The sequence below is a fragment of the Homo sapiens genome, chromosome 5, assembly GCF_000001405.40.
Source record: "Homo sapiens chromosome 5, GRCh38.p14 Primary Assembly".
NCBI classification, from domain to species: domain Eukaryota; kingdom Metazoa; phylum Chordata; class Mammalia; order Primates; family Hominidae; genus Homo; species Homo sapiens.
This window is the reverse complement of record NC_000005.10, coordinates 139,862,795-139,884,800: the sequence shown is the minus strand read 5'-3', so window position 1 is coordinate 139,884,800 and position 22,006 is coordinate 139,862,795. Positions and strand designations below refer to the sequence as shown.

General features: G+C 53.0%; 1 protein-coding gene across 10 annotated transcripts in view, besides 1 other annotated feature; it reads left to right on the top strand.

Annotated features, from left to right (window-relative positions):
* NRG2 (neuregulin 2) overlaps positions 1-22,006 on the top strand; it is a 196,519-nt gene that overhangs the window by 158,499 nt on the left and 16,014 nt on the right. For 3 of the 10 annotated variants that reach the window (NM_004883.3, NM_013982.3, NM_001410780.1), the window contains exons 3-5: positions 3,827-3,945; positions 12,960-13,080; positions 19,176-19,252. In NM_004883.3, coding sequence (NP_004874.1) covers positions 3,827-3,945; positions 12,960-13,080; positions 19,176-19,252 — 317 coding nt within the window. Of the gene's footprint in view, positions 1-3,826; positions 3,946-12,959; positions 13,081-15,082; positions 15,408-19,175; positions 19,253-19,627; positions 19,687-22,006 lie in introns of those variants that run through there. The other 7 variants (NM_013981.4, NM_013983.3, XM_005268533.5 and 4 more) reach the window with 5 other exon arrangements.
* Positions 4,122-4,885: an enhancer, noted in NCBI's record as "H3K27ac-H3K4me1 hESC enhancer chr5:139259501-139260264 (GRCh37/hg19 assembly coordinates)". NCBI's record gives its function as "activates a minimal SCP1, AML or CMV promoter by ChIP-STARR-seq in primed H9 embryonic stem cells {active_cell/tissue: H9 hESC(primed)}" and the evidence as "EXISTENCE:reporter gene assay evidence [ECO:0000049][PMID:30033119]".

Below are 22,006 nucleotides of genomic sequence, written 5' to 3'. Positions count from 1 at the left end.
CTGAATCTAAAATATCTGTATTGAGTATCAACTATGTGCCAGGCACTCTGCTAGAGGCTCAAGATATGTCAGTGAACAAAACAAAACTTACCTTCATGAGTCTCTAGTCTAGCTTCTACTATAGAATCTGGTAGACACCTTGTCCTTTTCTTCAGGAAAAAAAAATGTGGCTTATGTACCCAGTTTGTTTGTAATTCTAGAGGTCCACAGAGTCACTGACCCCCATGAGTGTCTGACGGGAAATGATCTTTCTAACAGGAACATGTATTCAATCATCCATTCAAGACAGAGCTTGAGAGCCTACTGCATGCCAGGTACAGCCTTGGGGCTCTTCCGACTCCTCTTCCTGGCCTACAAGTCACTGCCATGCAGTTTCCTCACACTGCCACACTCTCGGCCGCTGGTCTTTCCTTTCATGGCTCTGGACTTGGGCCCAGGCTGTTCCCTATGCTGGCAGCCCTCCTCCCCTCACTTGTCCCTGGCAAGGCTCTCCAAGGCCCAGCTTAACTGTCTTCTCTCTGGGACACCTTCCTAAGCCCTCTAGGCAGCTCTCATTGTCTCCTCCCATGGTGCCTTAGACATGGCTTCATTGCTTTGTAGAGGGATCTGTCTCTCCTTCCAGCATGAGAGAGCCTCAAAGCCTGGATCCCTGTACCCAGATACCCCCTTCTCCGCTATAGAACCTGACAGAGAGCTCTACACTGAGGGCTGAACTGACGAGAATCTTGCAGGACTAGCCCTCCTCTCCTGGGTGTAGAGTCCCACTGAGACTGGGCATGAGACCTTTTGGATGGTTCTAGCCTTCTGAACCAGTTACTGTCCTGGTTAAGCCTCAGTTTCATCTAAAGAATCCAGAAACAGGGACTGGTCTTCTCCTCCTGGGTATTATGGACCCCTAAGAGTCTAAAGTGTGCCCCCTGCTCCCTACCTTTCAGGGCCCTGCCCCATTTGCTGCATCTGGAAACTTCCCTGTTCTCCCTGTTCTGCCCCTGGGCTCTCAGCAGTGAGTTGTCAGTGGTGGAGGAGTGGGCCATCATAGAGAACTTCTGACTCCCTGCGACCAAGGCGCCCTCGGAGTGACTTAGAGAGAACGGCCACCTGCACACCTACCCATCCTACACTACACATCTCACCTAGTAGAGGGGCCAGGGGCAGTGGCAGGAGTCTGCTTTCTGGCAAAATGTTCTCTGTCTTGTCTGCCCACACAACAGCTGGCTCCCCTACCTCCTAGCACTCTCCCTGCCCGGGCCGCACTCTGTCTGGGCATCTCTGTTGACCTGTAGAGACCCCTCCTCAGAGGGTGCTGTCTGTCTTTGTGCCCACTGCACTGAAACATCTCACCCAAGCCTTCCTGTGCCAGGAGCAAACTGCCCCCCCAAATCCTGGGCACGGGGCCTTCCCTGCAGAATCGCATGTTCCCTTGTTTATGAGGGGCAGGCTGGAACAGGCCCCTTGAGCAGGCAGGGGGCGGGGGGCGGGGGTAGGCGCTGAGGAAAATGTGGAGGACACAGCTGCCCAGATCCTGTCCCTGCCAGCAGAGAACCAGCTGGGGAGGTAGGGGGGAGGGGGGAGGGCGTGGTCACCATCTCAGGGCAAACTTGGGTCAGCATGTGATGGGACACCAGGAGCAGAGCACAGCACGCGGCCTGCCAGGGAGACAGGAGAGTCCTGGATCCTCAGGCTTCCACCTGGAGCTGGGAGTGAGGAGGGAGAAGGTGGTGACTCCAGTTCCTGCAGGGGCTGAGAAACCCTCAGAGCCCTGCCCCTTAGCCAGGACCCAGAGCCCCGTGTGCATCTCTGGGGCCGGCTTCTATGAAATCATCAGACAGCTGCTAACCTAGGACATCTGCAGCAAGCCTCAGGGTCATTATCTCTGTCCCCTGCCTCTTTCTTGTTCCTCAGAAGGAAGGGGCACTCCTAGAGACCTGTGCCTGCCTTCTCCAGGTCTCACATGCCTGCATGTGGGGAATCCTTCCTTAACATTCTGCCACGTCCTGCTACATATGATGCTGTATAAGGGAAGCGCCTCTGAATTCCAGGGGGGTGACAAGGAGAATCTGGCTCTGAGTCCCCTGTGCATCAACACCCCCACCCCCGGACCCTCAGGCGATCCCCCTTCCCTGCTAATCTGGTGTGTGCACAGGGAAGTGAGAGAAGCCATACCCTGGGCAAGCTGGAGTTTGTGGCATCTAATTTGGCTGGAGCAGGGAAAGAGATGCTGTCTTAGTCAGAGGGGCCTCCAGGGCTCTCTTTAATGAAGGGAACAAATTATAATTGACAGAAGAGGGTTGTGGGCCGGCACCAGGCCAAGGAGACAGAGACCAGCTTGAGCCAGGAAGAATATGGTATAGTTAAGCAGCTGTCACCACAGCATCAGCAAGGACATTACCATAGCAATAGGGTCTATAGACAAGACCATCTTGTAGCACCCTTGTTGGGAGGACCTTGGGGTAAGGATGCCAGGATGCCTGGGAAGAGGCTCCCCATCAGAGGTGGAGACAGCCCAGGTAGGGATTGTGGGCCAGTTTGCGTCTCCTTGACCCTGGCCCAGCCTATCTGCTTGCCTCTCCTCAGCCTCCTTACCCCATCAGCTCCATAGCTCAGTTTTACATCCCCTAGGCTCAGGGCAATGATGGCTCTACTGCCCTCCCTCGTATTCCCCCATCTCTCCAGCCCACTACACATAGGCTGGAAATCTGGCTTTTTAATTCAGCACTAAAAAGAGGAGGTGATCATACCATGTGCAGAAATTACCGTGTTACTTCTTGCTTCCTCCTGGGGGCCAGCCTGGGATCCCAGGCTTTATCCAGAGCTCATGCTGGCCCTTGGAGGCAGAGGAAGGGGTGAGGGCTGTGAACAGGCCCTTGCAGAGCCTAAGCACCCTGGGGTAGGTGCAGGGAAACTCTGAGAAGGAAGGAGAGGTTTGGCTGGGGCTTCAGAAAGAAGAGGGGGACCAAGGCCAGGTGCCCTACACAGTTCTCAGCATGCAGGGACTAGGTGCAAAGCTTCAGGGCTAGCCCCAGCTTTTCTCAGAGATAGCCCACGTCCTCATGAACTGCAGCTCCTGGCATACCTCTGCCTTTGCCTTGCCGAGTGCCCTTGGGCAAGTCAGGAAGTCCCTCTAGGACTCAGTTTTCCCTTCTGTAAGCAGAGAACACCCAGTTTGGCCCTGAGGATCAAGTCCAGGATCTTTTTGTTCCCCAAGGTGTACAAGCTCCTGGCACACAGGAAGTGCTCAGTAAACATTTGTTGAATGAATGAATGAAACAAAAACCCCTTGGAGAAGCCACAGAGTGCCCCTTAGTGGCAGCGCTGATTTTGAGAACAAGGGAGAGCCCCAGGTTTGGACTAGGAGTCTGGGCACCATCACCATGGGAATCCGTCAGGACAGCTGCCCTCCCGGGTATCTGGGAACAGGTCTTGCATACCCAGAATGACAGGTTGCCACTTCCCAGGAGAGGCAGAGGCAGCTGGGAATGAGGGAGGTGGCCATGTGACTTCCTACAGGGCCTGGCTTTACTCCCCCAGAAGAATGTTACAATGGTCCAGCCCTAGAAGAGCGGATGTGAGGGATCATAGATTTAGGACATGTGAGCAGCCACTAGTCCTGCCCTGTGTTGTCCTAAGGGCCCAAGGCTCCCTGCAGCTGCAGGGACTCCGTGCCCCACCTGGACTCCAGAAATTGCTGGGGGGAGGGAATCTCCTTCCCATCTAAGCTGCAGGGCCACTGTGGCTCTGTGGAGAGAGGCAACCGCTGGGTGACTGCTGGGGAGCCACAGCCGGCCCTGGCTCACGCCTCTCCCCCTTTTATCCCCTCCCTAACCAGAAAGAACTCACGACTACAGTTCAACAAGGTGAAGGTGGAGGACGCTGGGGAGTATGTCTGCGAGGCCGAGAACATCCTGGGGAAGGACACCGTCCGGGGCCGGCTTTACGTCAACAGCGGTAGGTGGGCCCAGACAGAGGGAAGGGTCCTAGAGGGGTTTGGCAGGGCGGGCCAGTGGCCCCCCAGCCCTTGGGGCCTGCATGTGATCCATCTCGCACTCAACTCCCCTCCCTCCTGCTGCTGCCATATCAAGCCCTAGATCTCAGCCGATTCAGAGAAATGCAGTCGAAGCATAAATGTTTAGCTTTGTTATCTGGGCCTGGAAGAGCCGCCAGCTCTCATTTTAAATACCCTGAAAACTAAATATTTTGAAATCAAGAGGTGGGGGTGGGGAAAGGATATTTTTAGAAGGCAATTATAGGAGGCTGGGCTGCCAGGAGTGGGGCTGCAGGGAGAGGCAGGCCTGGGGCATGTACAAGCTGACTGCCTATTGCCTGTTGCTTTGCTGGGCACCTGAGCACAGGCAGCCATCTCCACTGGGCCATGGGTGGGCAGCTTGGATGCCTGGGGCCCCTGGTGGCAGCCTCTGTTCAGGGAGGGCAAACTCCTCCCCGACAGGCCATCCTCACTCCTTGAAGTCTTGCAAGGTCAGGACCTCACGGCACCTCTTACCTTCTCGTCTCTACAGTGGCAGACCCAGCCTCAGGGTAGAGGCTGCCTTCCTGCTGCACTGCCCTCTCAGGCCCTGGTTCTTTCCCTTGACTGGGAGATTGCCTCTCCGCCAAAACTACCTGTCCTCAGGCAGTGCCCTCTCCACTCTAGCTTGAGTACCTTAAATCCCACAGATCACTCTCCTCCCCCCAACACACACAGACTGAGTGTGCATGTGGCTACCTATTTATTGGGGTTCACTTCCAGTCCTGCTCATCACAGAATATAATCCTGTATCTGTCATTACCTGCCTCTATTTCCACCAGACAGCCTCCCAATATGCCCTAAACCTAGCATGGTCTAAAAGACTACTTGGAACACTCTCTGCCCTATGACCCTCAGACAAAAACCTAGTTCAGACCCTGTCTTCCTGTCCTGGTGAGGGACACCCCGTCCTCCCAGCCCCTTGTGCTCCTTGGTCTCCCTTGCCACTGTGTCTAATAAGTCTGAGTCTCCATGTCCTTGCCAGTCTTCTTTCTGGATCTTTCTCACACCTGCCTCTTCTGCTCTAACTATACCTCAAGGGTAACCCTGGCTTGGGTTTCATCCCTAGTCACCTGAACCAGAGCAGCAGCCTCCTAAGGTGCTTTTATCCTGTCATGTTCCCCACCCCATAGAACTACAGAACAGGGACTTTGTTCTCAACACCCTGGCCTAAATGATCTTTCCAGCCTAACTTCCATCAGTCCCTTGTCCATTCCATTCTTACTCTTGCTCCTGTGCCATCCTGACTCATAGGATGGGTCAAGACAGTTTCTCTCACTATGTGTTGGCCTCATTCTTTCCTACTGTAAAATGGGCCTCTCCCATGTTCGGAGAGTGGGGTGGGAAGAGGAGGCCATGGCTTCATCTCTTCCTCCTTGACCATCCCAACCCACTGCAGCGTCTCTCCCAGCTAGGGCTCCACTCCTGGGCCACTCCTTGGCCAACCATGCTCTGATGGCATCTCTTGAATTCTAGCCTTTGATTAGCCTTCAACTCTCATGCTATTGCTGAACTTTCTCTGTGGGCGTGGCCATCCCAGTGAATCTGTGAGCCTCAGGAGAGGGGAGAACAGGGAGGATGCTTTCTCCTGGAAGTTACAATCATAGCCAGTATTTATTGAGCCAAGCTCCACATTATCCCATGAACCCATACTCAAAGCCAGGATATATTTTATAAACAATAAGAAGCTCAGGGAGATTAAATATTTCACCTGAAGTCAAACACCTAGTTAATGATAGAGCTGTACGATGTAAAAGTAGTTGGCAAACACTTAGTCTTTGAGCTCTGTGGGGCTATGTCTAGTCTGTCTACCACCCTAGCCTCAGGGTCTAGCACAGCACCTGGCTCACAGTGGGTGCCTGGTAAATATTATATAAGAGAACTTATAACCTGCTCCAAGGTCTTTACTGCCTCCTCTATGGCCCAGCCTGGGCATGACAGCAGGGAGGGTGTCTGAGCTCCTACTTCTCTCATCCTATCCCAAGTTTGGGAAGGTGGGCTGTGTCTGGGGTCTAGCACCTGCCACCTCTGCTGTAGTGGTCAGACATTCTCAGATCCACTTTGGATTTGGGGCCTTCCTATTTTATTAGTCAAGACTTTCTTGACTAGAATTAACTTAAGCCTATCTTAAGGGATTTATTTATTGGCTTATAAAACTGGTAAGTTCAGAGGTGGAACTGGCCCCAGGCATGACAGAATCTAAGAACTCAGAGGAAGAGTCCAAGAACTCATAGGATGGCTCAAGACAGTTTCTCTCACTATGTGTTGGCCTCATTCTTTCCTACTGTAAAATGGGCCTCTCTCATGTTTGGGGAGTGGGGTGGGAAGAGGAGGCCATGGTCTCAGACAGGTCCAGATCTACCCCATCCCAGCCCACCACCCGGAGAAAAGAGATGGCTTTGTCTCTGTGTCCATAAGTACAGTCACAAGGATGGATTCTGAATGACCCTGCCAGGTCATGTGACCCACTTGACCAGTCACTGTGCTTGGAGGGTGGGGCCATCTTTGCCTGGCCTGTCTGTGTGTGCACAGGGGCTACTGAGAGGCAGGGCACTGTGAGTGAAGGCCTGGTCAGAACTCCATGGAAAAGCACTTCCCCGAAGGGGTGCTGTTAGCAGAGAAAGTGGGAGCGGCTGCTGTGCAGAAAACCACAGGAGTGCCCTCTCTCTTGCACAGGGCTTGGGGCCTGTGGCCAGAGGTGGTGAGACCCCTCAGATAAGCTGCAGTCCCCTCCCACACACGGATTACTGTCAGCCCTCCGTAGGCCATGCTGTGATCAGTTTAGGAACCAGACCGTGGCACCTTTGGGCAGGGCACTGAGGGCATATCTGGAATCCCAGCTTCCTGCAGCCTTCTTGCCTCTTGACCCTCCAGGGCAGCGGCAGGGCAGAGCAGGGGAAAGAGTTTGGAGATTTGGTCTCGTCCAAGCTTTACATCATGCAACCCTGAGTAAGTCACTTCACCCCACCAGTCTTTGGTTTTCCCGTTGTGGGGCTGAACTAGATGATCTTTAAGCCCCCTTCCCTCTAAAATTCGGGGATTCTGAGTTTGATGCTGAGGCTGACATCCTGTGCACCTAACCAGTACGCACACACACAAACACATACCACACCACTTCTGCTACCATGTGCAGTCCATGGCAGGCAAGAGCCTACCCTTGAACAGGTGAACAGGGCCACTGCTGGGGACCAGGAGGCCCCTGCTGGGGATGTTTTCCCAGGCAGAGATGCCCAGGCTCCTTGTTTATCCACAGAACCCATGAGACCTGCAGCAACCACACCCTGTGGTCTGCCCCCTCTGACTCATCCCAAGGTGGGTTGGTTTGGCCCGCCCAGGCCGAAGGGAAACCAGGGCTACAGGGATAGGGCAGCTAGAAGAGGGTACAGGGAGGTCATTGGGGAGCAGCAGGCTGCTCGGGTGGCATCACTTTGGCTCTTGAGTGGCTACTGCTCTGTTCAGGTGGAGCCCAGGGCTCCTTCCACAAATTAGAGTAGGCCTTCCTTATAGTCAGAGCTCTGCCAGCTCACAAGAGGCTCCTGCCTTCCTGAACTGGCGGGCAGGAGGAGTCGGCAGGAAGTTTGCGGTGCTAACACAATAGCTTGGTCCAACCCACTTCTGAGTTAGAGAAACAGATGTCTCATCCCAGGTGAAAGGGAGTTTGGGAATGTCCTGAGGTGGCTGTACCAGCCCCTGATGTCAGGCTTTGCCCCAGAGGACAGGCAGGTTTGACCTGGGGTGTCATAGGACCATGGAAGCCCTGGAGAGGCCTCTGGGCCAGTCTCTTACCTGGAGTCTTGCAAAAGCTGGCTGTTTAAACACACACACACACACACACACACACACACACACACACAGATGCACATTCATGTCAGTCACGCATTCAGAAGCGCTTATTCAACAAGATCTTGCTCTGAGCTCTGGGAAGTCGCAGTCTTGGCCCCCAAGAAAGTCCCTCAAATGGCAGGAAACTAAAACCCGAACTCTAAAAGGTCTGCCTTTTCTAACAAACTGAGAGGAAGGTAGGCAATTTATCAAAGGGAAAGGGGCCTCGATGGATAAAGGAGCACTCGACCTGAGTCTTGAAGGACAAGCAGAAGTTTTCTCCATGAGCAAAGGTGAAAAGCAGCTGCACTTGTGGGCAGTCGGGGACGCAGCTCCACAGCAGCGGCTCCCACCCCGCCACTGTCACTCTTCAGGGGCCCTGATAAACTCACACCAAGACACTAACGGTTCATCAAAACTTCCTGGGCTTACTCCTCCCGGGTGCTTTTTTAAATTAATTTTTGAGATATAATTTATATACCATAAAATTCACCCTTTTAAAGTATACAATTCAGTGGTTTTTAGTATATTCACAAGGTTATATAACTATCACCACTAATTTTAGGACATTTTTGTCACCCCAAAAAGAAACCCCATGCCCTTTAGCAGCCACTCCCATTTCTCCCCCTCTCCAGCCCCGGCAACCACTAATTCTGGACATTTCATACAAATAGAATCATACAATATGTGGCCTTTTGTGACTGTCTTCTTATACTTAACATAATGTTTTCAAGGTTCATCCGTGTTGTAGCATGGATCAGTACTCCATTCCTTTTTATGGCTAAATACTATTTCACTGTATAGACATACCACATTTTATTTATCCACTCATAAGTTTGGATTCTTGGGTCATTTGGATTCTTGGGTCATTTGGATTGTTTCCACATTTTGGCTGTTATTAATAATGCTGCTGTGGACATCTGGGCACAAGTTTTTGTGTGAGCATAGGTTTTCAATCTCTTGGGGATACACCTAGGAGTGGAATTTCTGGAGCACATCATGACCATATTTAATTTTTAAAGGAACTCCCAGACTGCTTTCCAAAGCAGCTACACTATTTTACATTCCCACCAGCAATGCATACGGCTTCCAATTTCTCCACATCCTCACCACCACATGTTATTATCCTTCTTTTTGATTCTGGCCATCCTAGTGAAAGTGGTATCTCAGAGTGTGTGCGTATGTGTATGTTTTATAGAGATGGGGTCTTGCTACATTGCCCAGGCTGGTCTTGAACTCCTGGTCTCAAGTGATCTTCCTGCCTTGGTCTCCCAAAAGTGCTAGGATTACGGGGGTGAGCCAGCCATTGGCTTGGTCTCATTGTGGCTTTGATTTTCATTCCCCTAATGACCTTTTTGGAATGTTTGCATTTAAAGGAGACAGTCCTTTAATCTACCAAAAAGATGATATTATCAGCCAAGGATACCAGACTAGTCCCTGGGATGGTAGCACAGGGCACTTTTTTCCCCCAAAGAATAAGATATTTATTTTCTCATTCATTCATTCAGTAAATATTTGTTAAGCACCTGTTATGTGCCAGGCACCATGCTGGACATTGGGGTTCAGGGTAAACATGTCAGACATGGCTCCTGCCCTAATGGAGCTTACATTCTAGTGAAGAAACTAAGCATTAAACAGCAAACAGTTGGCTGGGCACGGTGGCACAAGCCTGTAATCCTAGCATTTTGTGAGGCTGAGGCAGGCAGATCATGAGGTCAGGAGATCGAGACCATCCTGGCCAACATGGTGAAACCCCATCTCTACTAAAAAATACAAAAATTAGCTGGGCATGGTGGCACATGCCTGTAATCCCAGCTACTTGGGAGGCTGAGGCAGGAGAATTGCTTGAACCCGGGAGGCAGAGGTTGCAGTGAGCTGAGATCTTACCATTGCACTCCAGCCTGGGCAACAGAGCAAGACTCTGTCTTGGGGAAAAAAGAAAGCAAACAGTTGCACACTTAGTCATGTAATTATGCTAGAATAGCTATAAGTAGAAGTATATGAAGCTAAGCGAGGGAATAAGGGAGGAGCCTGACCAGCTTAAGAAGTCAGGTGAGGCCTCCCTGAGACACTTGTTGTATTTTGAACATCCTGGGCAGGAGACTACTTGGCTTATTAAAGGAGCAGAACTATGACCAGCATAGTCTGAAATATACTGAAGGAGAAAGATGGGAGATGAAGTGGGAGAGGTGGTGAAGCCCAGATAAGACCTGGGAAGAAGTTGGGGGCTTTATTCTGAGTGCAAATGGAAGCCACTGGAGAGCTTTGGTAATAGAAAAGATTGATACAATTTACATATTTTAAAGACCACTGTGGCTGCTGCAAAGTAAAGGAGATGAAGGCAAGAGTGAAGGCAGAAAGACCAGAGAGGAAGCTATTGTGGCCATCAAAGAAAGAGACAATGGTGGCCTGGACTAGGGGAGGAGGTAGCAAGACATGGATGGAGTCTCTTGAGGAAGTGGAAATGGCAACCCTTGGTGACAGATGGCTATAGGGGAATAAAGGAGGATGAAATCAAAGATGCCCTCTAGGACTTTGGTTTGTGCCATTTGGTCACGGAGATAGGAAAGACTGGGGAAGAAGGTGGGTAGGGCAGATGGTGCAGAGCACAGTTTTGGACTTGTTGAGTTTGGGGTGCTGTGAGCCATCCTCGTGGAGGTGTAAAGGGAGAGTCCACGTCACCTTCACTTCTCCAAACACGGGCAACCATAGTGAGAGATATGGATACGCTGACAGGGGTGTATAGACACGTTGCCTCAGGAGCCCACGCGTGCTAGAACAGTGTAACTGCGCTACAGCGTGAGCGCAGCTCTTCCGTGTGGAAATCTCCCTGGAGTATGGCTTTGCCACTGGCAGAGTTGGGCTGCAGTATCTTGGGAAGGCCCTGCCATTACAGAGGAGTGGCCTTTCTGAGATGGAAACACCCGTGGTCACTCTTTCCCCACACCCTCTGTGACTGGCTCCCCAAATGTCTTCCCTTTTTACCTTCCCGGGGTCCCAGCCTCGTCCCCATGACAACATGATACTGGCAGCGCAGGCTCAATGCATTCGGCTGGGGAGGCCCCATCTTTCCTCAGGAGTTGTCCTTAGCCTCCCAAAGCCTCGATGAGCACAGACATATATGTGAGAAGCCCAAGTGTGCAACTGTGGCCCCGGCCAACCCAGCATCCTCCCTGCTGTCCACTGCTCACTCGACTGGGGTGAAACAATGGGCACAGCAGTGGGCAGTCTGTGCCACCCGCAACTGCAGAGGACACCAGGCTGGGCCTGGCAGATCCAGGCTGAGATTTCTCTGGCTTAGCCAACACCCACAGGAGGGCCCAGGCCTGCAGTCCTCACTGCGCTTGCATTCGTCTGCTTTTGTCAAGCCTGGGTGCTGATGGGGAGGATGTACAGCCAGGGGCTAGGAGCCCTGAGGCTCTGTTGCAACACACACTGCACTCTGGCCAGACACTTCGCTGCCTTCTCTCTCTCCACTCTCCTGTGTGATGTAAATGAAGGGCAGGACAACCTCGAGGGTTCTCCCAGCAAGGGGATTTTACAAGTGGCAGGCGTGGTACCTCAGCTGCTTCTCTTCTCTGTCCCTTTCTTAGTTCCCTGGGTCTCACTGACCCAGAAGTGGGGCAAAGATCAGCAGGAGGTCTCTAGTTCCAGCCAGCACGTGGGTTCCAGCTGGGTCTGGGGTTGAGCCGAGGAGGGAGACCTCAGCAGGGGTGGGGCTCCGGGATGCCAGCTCAGCAGCAGGCATGATGTGGAGGGGATGGTGAAGCCGGCCCTGCCCGCTGGATTTTATCAGCATGCTCCTCAGACATATACAGAAGCAGAGCTGTGTATACACTCCCAGCCCCCTGTGCTCCATCCGTCTCCCCACATGTCTAAACACTGAGGGTGCCGACTGCCTGCCCTCCTCCTCCTCCTCTCACTTCCACCCCTATTACTGAGGGGAGTGGAGAGACCCAGTACCCCTGAGGAGACAGGGCCAGCTGGGGTAGCTTGGGCCACCTCATTCAGGAGGCCACTGCTGGGCTGGGTGGGAACGAGAGGCCCTCAGAGGCCCTGGGAGCTGAGGGGAGCAGGACCTGCTTCTGGCTGTCCAGTCCGGATTGGATGGGGCATTATCTAAAACTGATGTTTGGGGCGAGAATGTTCACTTGAAGCTAGCTTTCTGGATGCCATTCCCTGATGAGGAGCAGAGCTTCAGTGATGTTCATTTCTCAAATGAGTCCAGTCAATCGGACGTGCAGTCTGTGCTAGAAGCCTTAAGGCCCAGCCTTGCTCTCCCCCAGTTTTGCACCCCAGCTGCCCCCTTCCCTTTCCCTGGCCCTGTCTCCTCCCCAACAACTTGAAACCCGTGATTTATGGCTGGGGCTGTCCGAGACCTGGAGGCTCCCTCTAGGGGCAACAGCTGATAAGGTCAGGGAGGAGGGGGCTGTCTGGGGTGGGGAGATATGGAGAAGACCCCAGATGCTTATGGAGATGGGGCATAGTAGCCTTTGAAGCATTCCTGGAGCTAGCCCAGACCTTGGAGAATGGGGGAAGAGAGCAGAAGCTAGGGTTCCTCCTACCCCCAACATCTCTCCAGATCTTAGAAAATGACCGTGTCCTAAAGGTGCCATCCCCTGAAGGCCCAGCTCCCTTCCAGCCACTCCCTGGTCCACCATGAGAGCCCAAGCCATGCAGGCGGGTGTAGGTGTCTCTTTCCTGCACCGCCTCCTGCGTTTGTTCCCCACATGAGACATCAGCATTTCAACCACTTGCAGGGGAGCCCCCGGAAAGCCAGGCAGGGAAGGGGAGAGGTGGGCCCTTATTCAGCAGAGGAAGCAGTTCCTGCTGTCTTCTCACCCTGCTCCCCCCACAAAAGAATGAAAATCTTCCTGGCCTTTGGAAGTTTGCCTAGAGCTTGGGTGCAAGGTTGCACTGGGTAAACGGGCAGAGCTCATGGTGGCCTCTCCTTTGCCTTATTTGTGACTAGAAGGGACCACCAGACCTCCCCTCCCCAGTCATTCCTGCAGCCTCTGGTCATCTTCCAGTTTTGACGTGGGGCATGAAGGAGATGATTCCTGGGGCCTAGGGATAGTCTCAGTGCGTCACTGGCACATGTCTCTCATACCCTCAGTGAGCACCACCCTGTCATCCTGGTCGGGGCACGCCCGGAAGTGCAACGAGACAGCCAAGTCCTATTGCGTCAATGGAGGCGTCTGCTACTACATCGAGGGCATCAACCAGCTCTCCTGCAAGTAAGTGACCAGTAGGGGTGGGCATGGGAGCAAGAACAGGGTAGGAGATGCTGGGTCAGAAGTGGAGGGCTCTAGGAAAAGAGGGTTCCAAGCCACTGACAAGAGGTCCCCAAGGGGTGTAGACAGGAAGCTTTGCCCTACTTCCTAGCCCTTTCCTGGAATATAAGGAGATATAAGCTCTAAGGGGCACAGGGGCTTGTGCAGTCCCCATTTCCCAGGCCCCTACCCACCCCATCTCCTGATGTCTACCCTTTCACCAACACCCTTTAGGGAGATGGGGATGCTAGTCTATGCCCTAGGCACTGGGCACTGGGTTTCTCTTTCTCTCTCTCTCTGCCTCCCTCAGTCTCTCTTTCCCCCCCTCTTTTCCTCCCCATCTCTCAGCAACTCTCCAAACTTTGTTCTTAATGAACATTTCCCAGGCTGCATCTTCCCCAATAGCGAGGAGCCTGGCAGGGCCAGGCAGAGCACAGGTTCCAGAGCCCTTTGCTCCTGTAGTCTTGAGGGGAGAAGAGGGGTCTGCCCAGAACCCAGTACTGACCTCAGGATCTGGCTGCCCTTCTGCCCTACAGGACCCCATTGTACAAAGATGCCATCCCTGGGTGCTGCCTGTGTCCCTTCAGCCCCTAGCCCCCACTCCATGGGATGAGGGGATACCAGCAAGGACACTACTCTAGGTATGGCCCAATGGGGGAGGTCAGGGTGGAGGAGAGGCTCAGGCTGGGGCCTCTCAGCCTCCCCAGGGGCCAGAGCCTGCTCACCAGCCAGGCAGGGTGGCCCCAGCAGGAACTCCAAGGAGCTCAGAACCACCCACTCCCCATAGCAAACAAGGCAGGTGGGAGAGAGGCTGTCAGGGAGGGCTCGTTCAGGCCCAGCCAGATCTTCTGGGCAGCTGGGCCTACAGTGCCCCCTGGACAGATTCTCTGGTGAGTGTGTGAGGAGGGGAGGGGAGCTTGGTGAGGGCAGCATAGGCTCCAGACAGATCTAGGAGAGGAGTGGGAGGGGGGCCTAGTTAATAACTTCAGTGTTTCAAAGCAGCCCAAGCCTAGAGCCCTGGCAAGTTGCTAAAGCTGCCCCATTCCCATGGCATCTGGGCAAAGGCCACCAAAACATTGATGGGGATTCAGAGAGAGATGTTTGACCTTCCCCCAGGCAAGGTCAGACTCAACACTTCTCAGCTCCCCTGCCTCTGATCTCCCGCTCTAGATCCACAGCCCCCTTCCTGGGCACACCCTTGCCCGGGAATGTGAGCCTGGTCTGAGAAGGCCAGGACTTTTCAAGACCCCTCCACCTAACAACATGGTAACGAGGGGCTCTTGCCCCGGCTGGCCTCCTCAGCTGGCTTCCTCCCTGGCCCCACCCTGCCCCTGCTGCCACCTCCTTCTCCCCCTCCCTGAACCTTAGAGGAGAGTCCCAGTAGCAACAACAGGCCCTCTAGGGAAGTTCTCAACCCAAACTCAGCCCCTCATCCTTCCCCGCCTCCTGCCTCTAGGAGGCTGCCATGTTAGTATGACAGACCCTAGGGAACATTCTAGCTGTGAAACTTGCTCAGAGTTCTTTGGAACAGATCTACTAGAAATTCATCAGGGTCCTGGAATACCTCACAGGGATGACCCAGCCCTGCATCCCCATTTCCTTGTCTCCTGCACCCTCCTCCTCCCTGTGACATACACACTAGGTAGGTCTCTCCTCTTCCCTAGCCCCTTGGACCCCAGACTTTGAAGGGATCCAGCACTGTCACTGAAGTCAGCCCTCGTCCGGGCAGGGAAGGTTCTGGCCCCTCAGGACAGGTGCCAGGGCTGAGGAGGGCCATGGGGGCCAGGGCTCCAGTGCTAGAGTTCGGTGTGGGCAAGGGAGTGGTGAGATATGTGGGCTCCAGGAGGGCCCTGCCAGCAAGGTTGCACCCCTAGGACCTCTGAGTCCTGCCCAGCTAAATCTGAGAGGAGCAGAGGCAGGAGCCTGAGCCATTGTGAAGATGGTGCCCTGTTCCCTTTCCCACCAGGGCACCTGGGCTGCACTGCTTAGAACTTGGTACCCAGAGCCACCACTTCCCCATCTCAGCCTCCCCTGGTTCCAGCCAAGGTTCCTGGAACCAACTTCCCCAACACCCTTTGTCAGCCCTCGGGGGAGAGGGCAGCCCTGGTGGAGATGCGGTCAGAACACCAGGTCCTCAGAGCTGTGCTGGAGAAGGGCAGGGGGGTGGGGGGCAGGGCAGAGCCCAGAGGCCATTCTGCGGGTGGACGAGCTGGGAGGGAAGGTGGGCAGGCCTCTTGGGGTTCCTGATGACACCTGAATGGAATAAAAAGGAAAGAACTTAGGAAACGGAACTCACGTCTTACCATTTGTGCTGTTTGTTTACTTTTTATTTTGATTTTTTTGCATTTCCGCTTAGCTTGGATAATGAAACTACACTGGTCAGTTTCATTCCAGTTTCTATAAAAATCAGTTTTCCTTCCTGGTTTTCTTACACTTGTTGTTGTGTATTGGTTCAGAGCCCTGCAGGGAGTGTTGGAAAGCAGGCACACTCCGTCCCTCCTGTTTTTCTGGAATTCAGTGCCAAAAGAAACAGTGTCACTGATACTGAATTTTGTTTTAAAAAAAGACAACGTAGGGGGATTTGAAAATGGGAGTCCAAATCAAGGTGACTGTCCCCTGTCTGGGCCAGACAGGGGCCTCTGCACTCCCTCTTGCTGCTTTCTCCTCTTCTCTCCGTGTGTTTGTAGAGCACGGTTGGTGCGTGACTCTTGGGGACTGGTTCAGGGGATGATGACAGAACAAGACTCTTTCCAGCCCTGTGCACATACCAGTGGCATGCCTCCCCTTCCCATCAGCTCATCCCCCTCATCCCTCTGCCCCTACCCCACCCATGTCCAGGTGATTCCCCATCCCACCTCCATCTGCCTGCTCATCCTCGCCACATCTTCACCCCTCTCATGAACTCAGAGGCCCTTCACTCCCTCCAGTGCCCGGGGCACACCGCCATCCTTCATCCACCCCCTCCCCCGGGTGAGGGCAGCACACATGGCATTATCCCCAGGCTACCAAAAGGAGAAACTGAGGCCCGGGAGGTGGGGTGGGAAAAGGGGAAGGCAGAGGTCCTGACCTCTCTGTCACCCCAGATGCAGCCCGTGGGCTCTCCTCTCTGCCCCTCTCTCACCCTGCTCTTCTCCAGCCCTGGGGACAGACCTTCCCCAGAGTCATAACTGATGACCTGGTGGGAAAGGCTGGGAAGGCTGTTACCCGCTGCTCCTTCTAATCTGTCCTCTGTGCCCCCTGAAAATCAGAGGGTCAATCCCAGTTTCAGTGGAAACCACCAACCACCACCCAGCCCCCAATGCTGAGTTCAGACTCCCAACCTGGTTGATAGGCTAATGTACCCCATACTCTCTTACCCTGGTATTAGGTGCAGGTTAGAGAGGCTATAGGCCCAGCTCACCCCCAAAGCCTTCTCTAGGGAAGCCCCAGTCTCCTGAATGTGACTCATCCTCAGCAAACAGGACTAAGGAGAGACATAGGAGTGTCCAGGAGGTCCCTGAAGGAGCTAGCACCCCAAAGAACAGCAGTAGCTGTCAGCCTTCCACCACCCCCACTGTGCCCCTCCCCAGTGCCTTTTGTTTTGTTCAGCCAGCGGGGAGCACATTTTCTCAAGGAAGGAAGGTTAGGACCATAATGTTGTGCAACTCAGCGGCCATGAAAGATGTAAGTCTGTAGTCAGGATAGTCCAGGCTGGGTGTGAGATAAGGGCCACAGGGATGTATGGAGTTATCATTGTTATCATTGTTCTCCAAGGGTCTTGGGACAGCAGCCCTGCTTGTCAGCAATGGAAATAAATTTCCCCTTGCCCCTCCTGCCCCTGTACTCCCCCATTTTCTCTCTCTCTCTGTCACACACACACACACACACACACACACACACACACTCATACACACACACACACACACACACACACACACACACAGGTTTCCCTTCCTCCAAGAGCTGGGCTGATCTCAGACATTGGACACAGACACATCTGTCTCTTTCTTGTTCCTTTGTGGAATCCAAGAGTCATTTGGCAACTTCCTGGGTCTTCATCCTCCACTCCCAAAGGCACTTATGTTTGAAAATCACTTCTCCCTCTCTAGTCCCCATCACAAGTGGACATCAGTTTCCAAGAGCTAAGGAAGAAGAGCTTGAGCTGGTTGGGAAGCCTTAGCCACTACCTCCATTTACCTGAGCTGGGATGAATAGGGACGAGGGCCAGGGATCAGAGAAGGATGTGTTGACAAGGGGGCTGATGGCAGTCTCCTCCTCCAAACCACCCTGTTCAGTAAGACGACCATGTACCCTCTTCCCACCCATGCCACTTCCCTGATACACTTCCCAGCCCTCCACCACCCCCCAATTAGCCAGGCATACCCACACACACACTCCTACCACTACAGGACAAACCTCCTGCCTCCCCTGGGGGAGATGCCATCAAGGCCCAGAGAAACTCTAGCCCTCTGCTCAACTACCACTCCCATTCCCCACTCCTCCAGATTTGAGGTCACAGGGTGTTCATGAGTATCTGTCACAACCAATGGCTGCCACTTACTGTAAGCCTAAGTGGCTTCCTGACAGTTGCTATATACTGCAATGCTAAGAAATAGAGTACACTTGCCTCTTGAGGAAGTTTACATTGATTAATTTTGAACAGTAGCCTATTATTGAGGGGGACACTGGTGATGAACTTAGCTAATTTCCTAAGGAAGAAGATGCAGAGGCAATATAGACCCATCTCTGAGTAGGGAGATGTGGGGAAGGGGTCTAGCCCTCCCTGTAAGCTTCTCCTTAGGTATCCAGCCTTGCCGGGGTTCAGAAGAGAGTACAGGGCTGGGCATGTCCTCCAGAAATTTGCAAGACTTCTGCAAGAAATCTGAGATTCGCTTGAGGAGAGGGCTGGCAGCCAGAGAGCAGAAGAACGTGTACCCTGTGGGTAGAGACAAGGTCAGGGAGATTGAGTGGGGGGTGCTTTAGAGCTGTAAGCAAGGCAAGATCAGAGAATGAGATCCAGGGCAGGTCCAGGCAGTGATGGAGAAACAGGTCATGGGGAAATGGAAGAGTTTCGCAGGCTGGCTGCCACTAGGACCTTGATGTGGACCAGGCTTCCAGGGTCCCCCAGCGAGCCTGCTCCAATCCCTTTTGTGGTCCTTGCTACCTGAGGCCAGATTCCCTGCACCTGGTATCAGGAAGGCCCACTTTGGGATGCTGATAATTCCAGCTCCTCTCCAACTTCCCATTTCCCTACTAAGCTTTTCCCATGTACATCACACTGGGGCAGCCTATTCCAAACCATGTTCTACCACAAGGGTTCCTCAAAAAACAACATCCATGGTGAAGTAAATTTGAAACACAAATAAATTTGAGAACTTACATGGAAAGTTCAGCTATTTCCTCCTATGAAACTTTCATAGTCTTTCATAGGTGAAGGTACACTGCAACTCTACAAGGCACCCTGAGAATGTATTTCCTACATTGATTTGGCCACAGAACCCTCTTTGAAAGAACAGATAAAACATCTCTTAGGTCACTTTTGTCAAAGACATACACAGTCTGGGAACAGCATTCCCGAGTTATCTGAGTTTCCTGGGGGCTGTTTCTTGGATGAGAAAACCTGCCCAGGGCCCAGGAGAGAATCCTTCAGTCGGTCCTGGGAGGAGTAGCTCCCAAGAACTTGGTATTCCTTAAGGCTCCCAGATCCCTGCCAGCTGACTGACTGCCTGGCACCAAGAGGCCACAGTGCTTGCTTCATGGGGCACCAGGCAGGTAAGAAGGAAAGTCTCAATGACCAGTAGGACAATTTCCCATCTTCCCTCACCCCACTTACCTAAATCATCCTCCCCCTGACCCACCCCACCTTCCCCACCACCCATGGAGCCACATCTATGAGACAGATTTTTAAGGAGATTTCAGAGCCCTCCACCCAGCCCTGACTCCAGTCCCTTCAGCTACAAGTATGACCCCAAGTGCCTGACTTGGTTTTTCTCATTCATCACTGTGCACTTTGATTTCTAACCTTAGCCTCGCGGATGATGCCAGTTTGTTCTGTGATTTTTCCCCTTTTCCTTCTCCAGATGTCCAAATGGATTCTTCGGACAGAGATGTTTGGAGAAACTGCCTTTGCGATTGTACATGCCAGATCCTAAGCAAAGTATGTTTGAAGATACAAACACAAGTCCCTGCTCCTTAGAAAGCTTCTGGGTGCAGTCCCCCCAATGTAGGGCATAGGGCCAGGGGTGTTGGTTGTTTTGATCTTTGGCTGTTTTGTTTTGTTTCTCTTTTCTTTTTTGTATTTTGGTTTGTTAGTTCTTTTTGTTTTGTTTTGTTTTGCTTTGTTTTCATTTTTGGCCTAATCCTTGGGTTTAAAGTTCAGGGCTGCAGGTAAGGGGCAGAGTGGCAAGGCCAATACAAATGGTAACGGTGGCAAGGAACCCAGCTGGCATTGGCAGGAGCCCGTGCCGGGGTGTTGCAATGCCTGTGTCTTGCTATCCTGGCTCTCTCTTTCTGGTTTTCTTTCTTTTGGTAGGTGTCCTGTGGGATACACCGGGGACAGGTGTCAGCAGTTCGCAATGGTCAACTTCTCCAGTATGTCTCTTTCTTCTATTTCTTCTCTTCCCTGGTGACTGACAGTCTCCCCCTGGGGAGGGATGGGGCCTTGCTTAGCAAGACTAGGGGGAGATGTAGAGGGTGTCCTGCGCTCCTTAGAGGAGACGGAAACACCCCCGGCACCCCCACCTCCACATGTGGGCTGTACCTCCTGGGCACAGTAATGCCAAGTTCTCTCTGCAGCAGCCAGGGCCACACCCAGGCCTCCTCCCAACTTCTGGGGTCGGGCAGCCTGGCCAGAATGGGAGGAAGCATTTGCAGAGCCCTCCCCTGCTCCGAAGGCTGCCTGAGGGTACCAAAGGGTCTGGCAGTGAGTGTGTGTGTGTGTGTGTGTGTGCCGACGTGTTTGAGAGAGAAAAAAAGTTCTCAGAAAGCCCATTTTCCAGTCTGGCCAGAGTTTGTTTGTTTTGAGGGTTTGGAAATGGGGTAGAGGGAAGGAAGGGGAATTAAGGGAGAGCAGGACCCAGGGCAATGATTTCCATGAATACCAGAGATATTTATGTGGCTACAGGATGGTGGGAGAGGGGGCGGGGGTTGGTGCTGGAGATGCTAAAAAGTTGAGGAAATGAGGAATTGAGGGGTAACTGGTGACTCTCTCAGCACCTCTGTGGTCTGAATCCTCCCATCTAGGATTTTATTCCCTTCCTTTCTTCAACTTATGAGGTTGGAGCTTTCCCTTTTGCACAGTTTGCAAAAAAAAAAAAAAAAGAAGAAGAAGAAGGAGAAGAAAGAAAGAAAAGTGAGCCCCGAGGCCCAAGGACCCAGCCATAATTATGGAGTGCTTTTATTTGGGGCCTGAGAGCAGTTCCTTCCAGCACCACCAGGTGGAGGTGGAGCAGAACAAAAAGCCTCTGGCCGGCCATTGATTCTGCTTGAGGACCAGGGGTCCGCTGGCTTGCAAGGCCTGTCCCCAGTTACCCATCCCATCCTGCAGAGCAGGCTAGGCCCCTGCGTGCCCCCCGACCTCCTCTTCTCCAGGGAGGACAGCTGGGCCCCATGAGGAGTGTGGAACCAAGTGTCCACATGGCACTGGATACTGGGAGGTAGAACTCTGGGAGGTGCTAAAGGTGGGATCCAGGGGACCATGTAGGTAGCCTTGGAGAAAAGGGGTTTGGGGATTTAGGTCTCAGGGTGGAGAAATGATCCTTCCCAGTACTCCTCAGACCACAGCACAAAAGTCCAGCAAGTTACTCCCCACCCCAACCCCACAGGGGCATAGAGACCCCTGGGGGATGGGAGCTGCTTGGCCCAGATGGTCAACTATCTTAATAGAGTGTGGGAGGCCAAGGAGGAAGGGCAGAGCCTGTGGGCAGGACATGTGGCCCAACAGAATTCTCTAGAACGCAGGCTCTGCAATCATTTCAGAGTCATATCCAGCCCTGAGTGCAGGACTGTAGAGCAGGAGGGACCTCAAGAGAAGGCAGAGCCTAGGCAGAGCTGGGGGCCAGGGGCAAGAGACAGTGGGGCAATATTCCTCTCGGCAGAGAGCCTCCCGGGCTTGTGAGACTGTCCTGGATGGCGAGTCCCAGCCTGTCCTGAATCAGAGCAGCAGAGCCTCCGGAACCGGGCCGCTATCCAAGGCCTCTCTGCCAGCTGGGCTGCTTCAGCTTTCAGCCTAGATCTGCTAGGAAGGTCAGCAGGGCCCCGGGAGCCCAGAAAAGAGCCTGCAAAGGCAGTCCAGGCCCTTCTGCCTAGTGTCTTCAGTAGCTTGACTGTTACCTTTTCGTAAAGGATTTATGCTCTTCAAGCACTTTCCCAGAGAGCACTTCATGTACTGCTCTAGCAGATAATTACTGAAAAGGTAGTGTAAAGTGCTGGCTTAAGTGTTCAGGCTTCGGATTCAAAGAGACCTCAGTAAAAATGCCAGCTGCTGAGCTTACTAGCTCTGGGGCCTCTTTAACTTCTCAATTTGTTTTCTCATCTGTAAAATGGGGATGATGACATTTATGCCTGTGGGGTTACTGTGAGGATGAAATGAAGTGCTGCATAAGAAGGGCTTAGCAGAGAGCCTGCCATTGTGATTGGAGCACAATTTAGTACCTCTCCCAGCTACAACTGGTATGCGGGGGCAGGGCAGCATCAGCCCCCTAGAGGCTGACTCCCAGCACATCCTGAGCAAAGTGTCCAACCTGCCCAGATAGCATCTAGACCAGGTTATCTTTTGCAGAGATCAAAGAAAGAGCCTGTGACTGCAATAGCACATTGAAGCTTTTCTTTCTTCCACAAACAGCCCCTCCATTCCCCACGGGTCAAAGCTTGTCCATCTTTATGTCCCCATGTAAAAGAGCACACATACTTG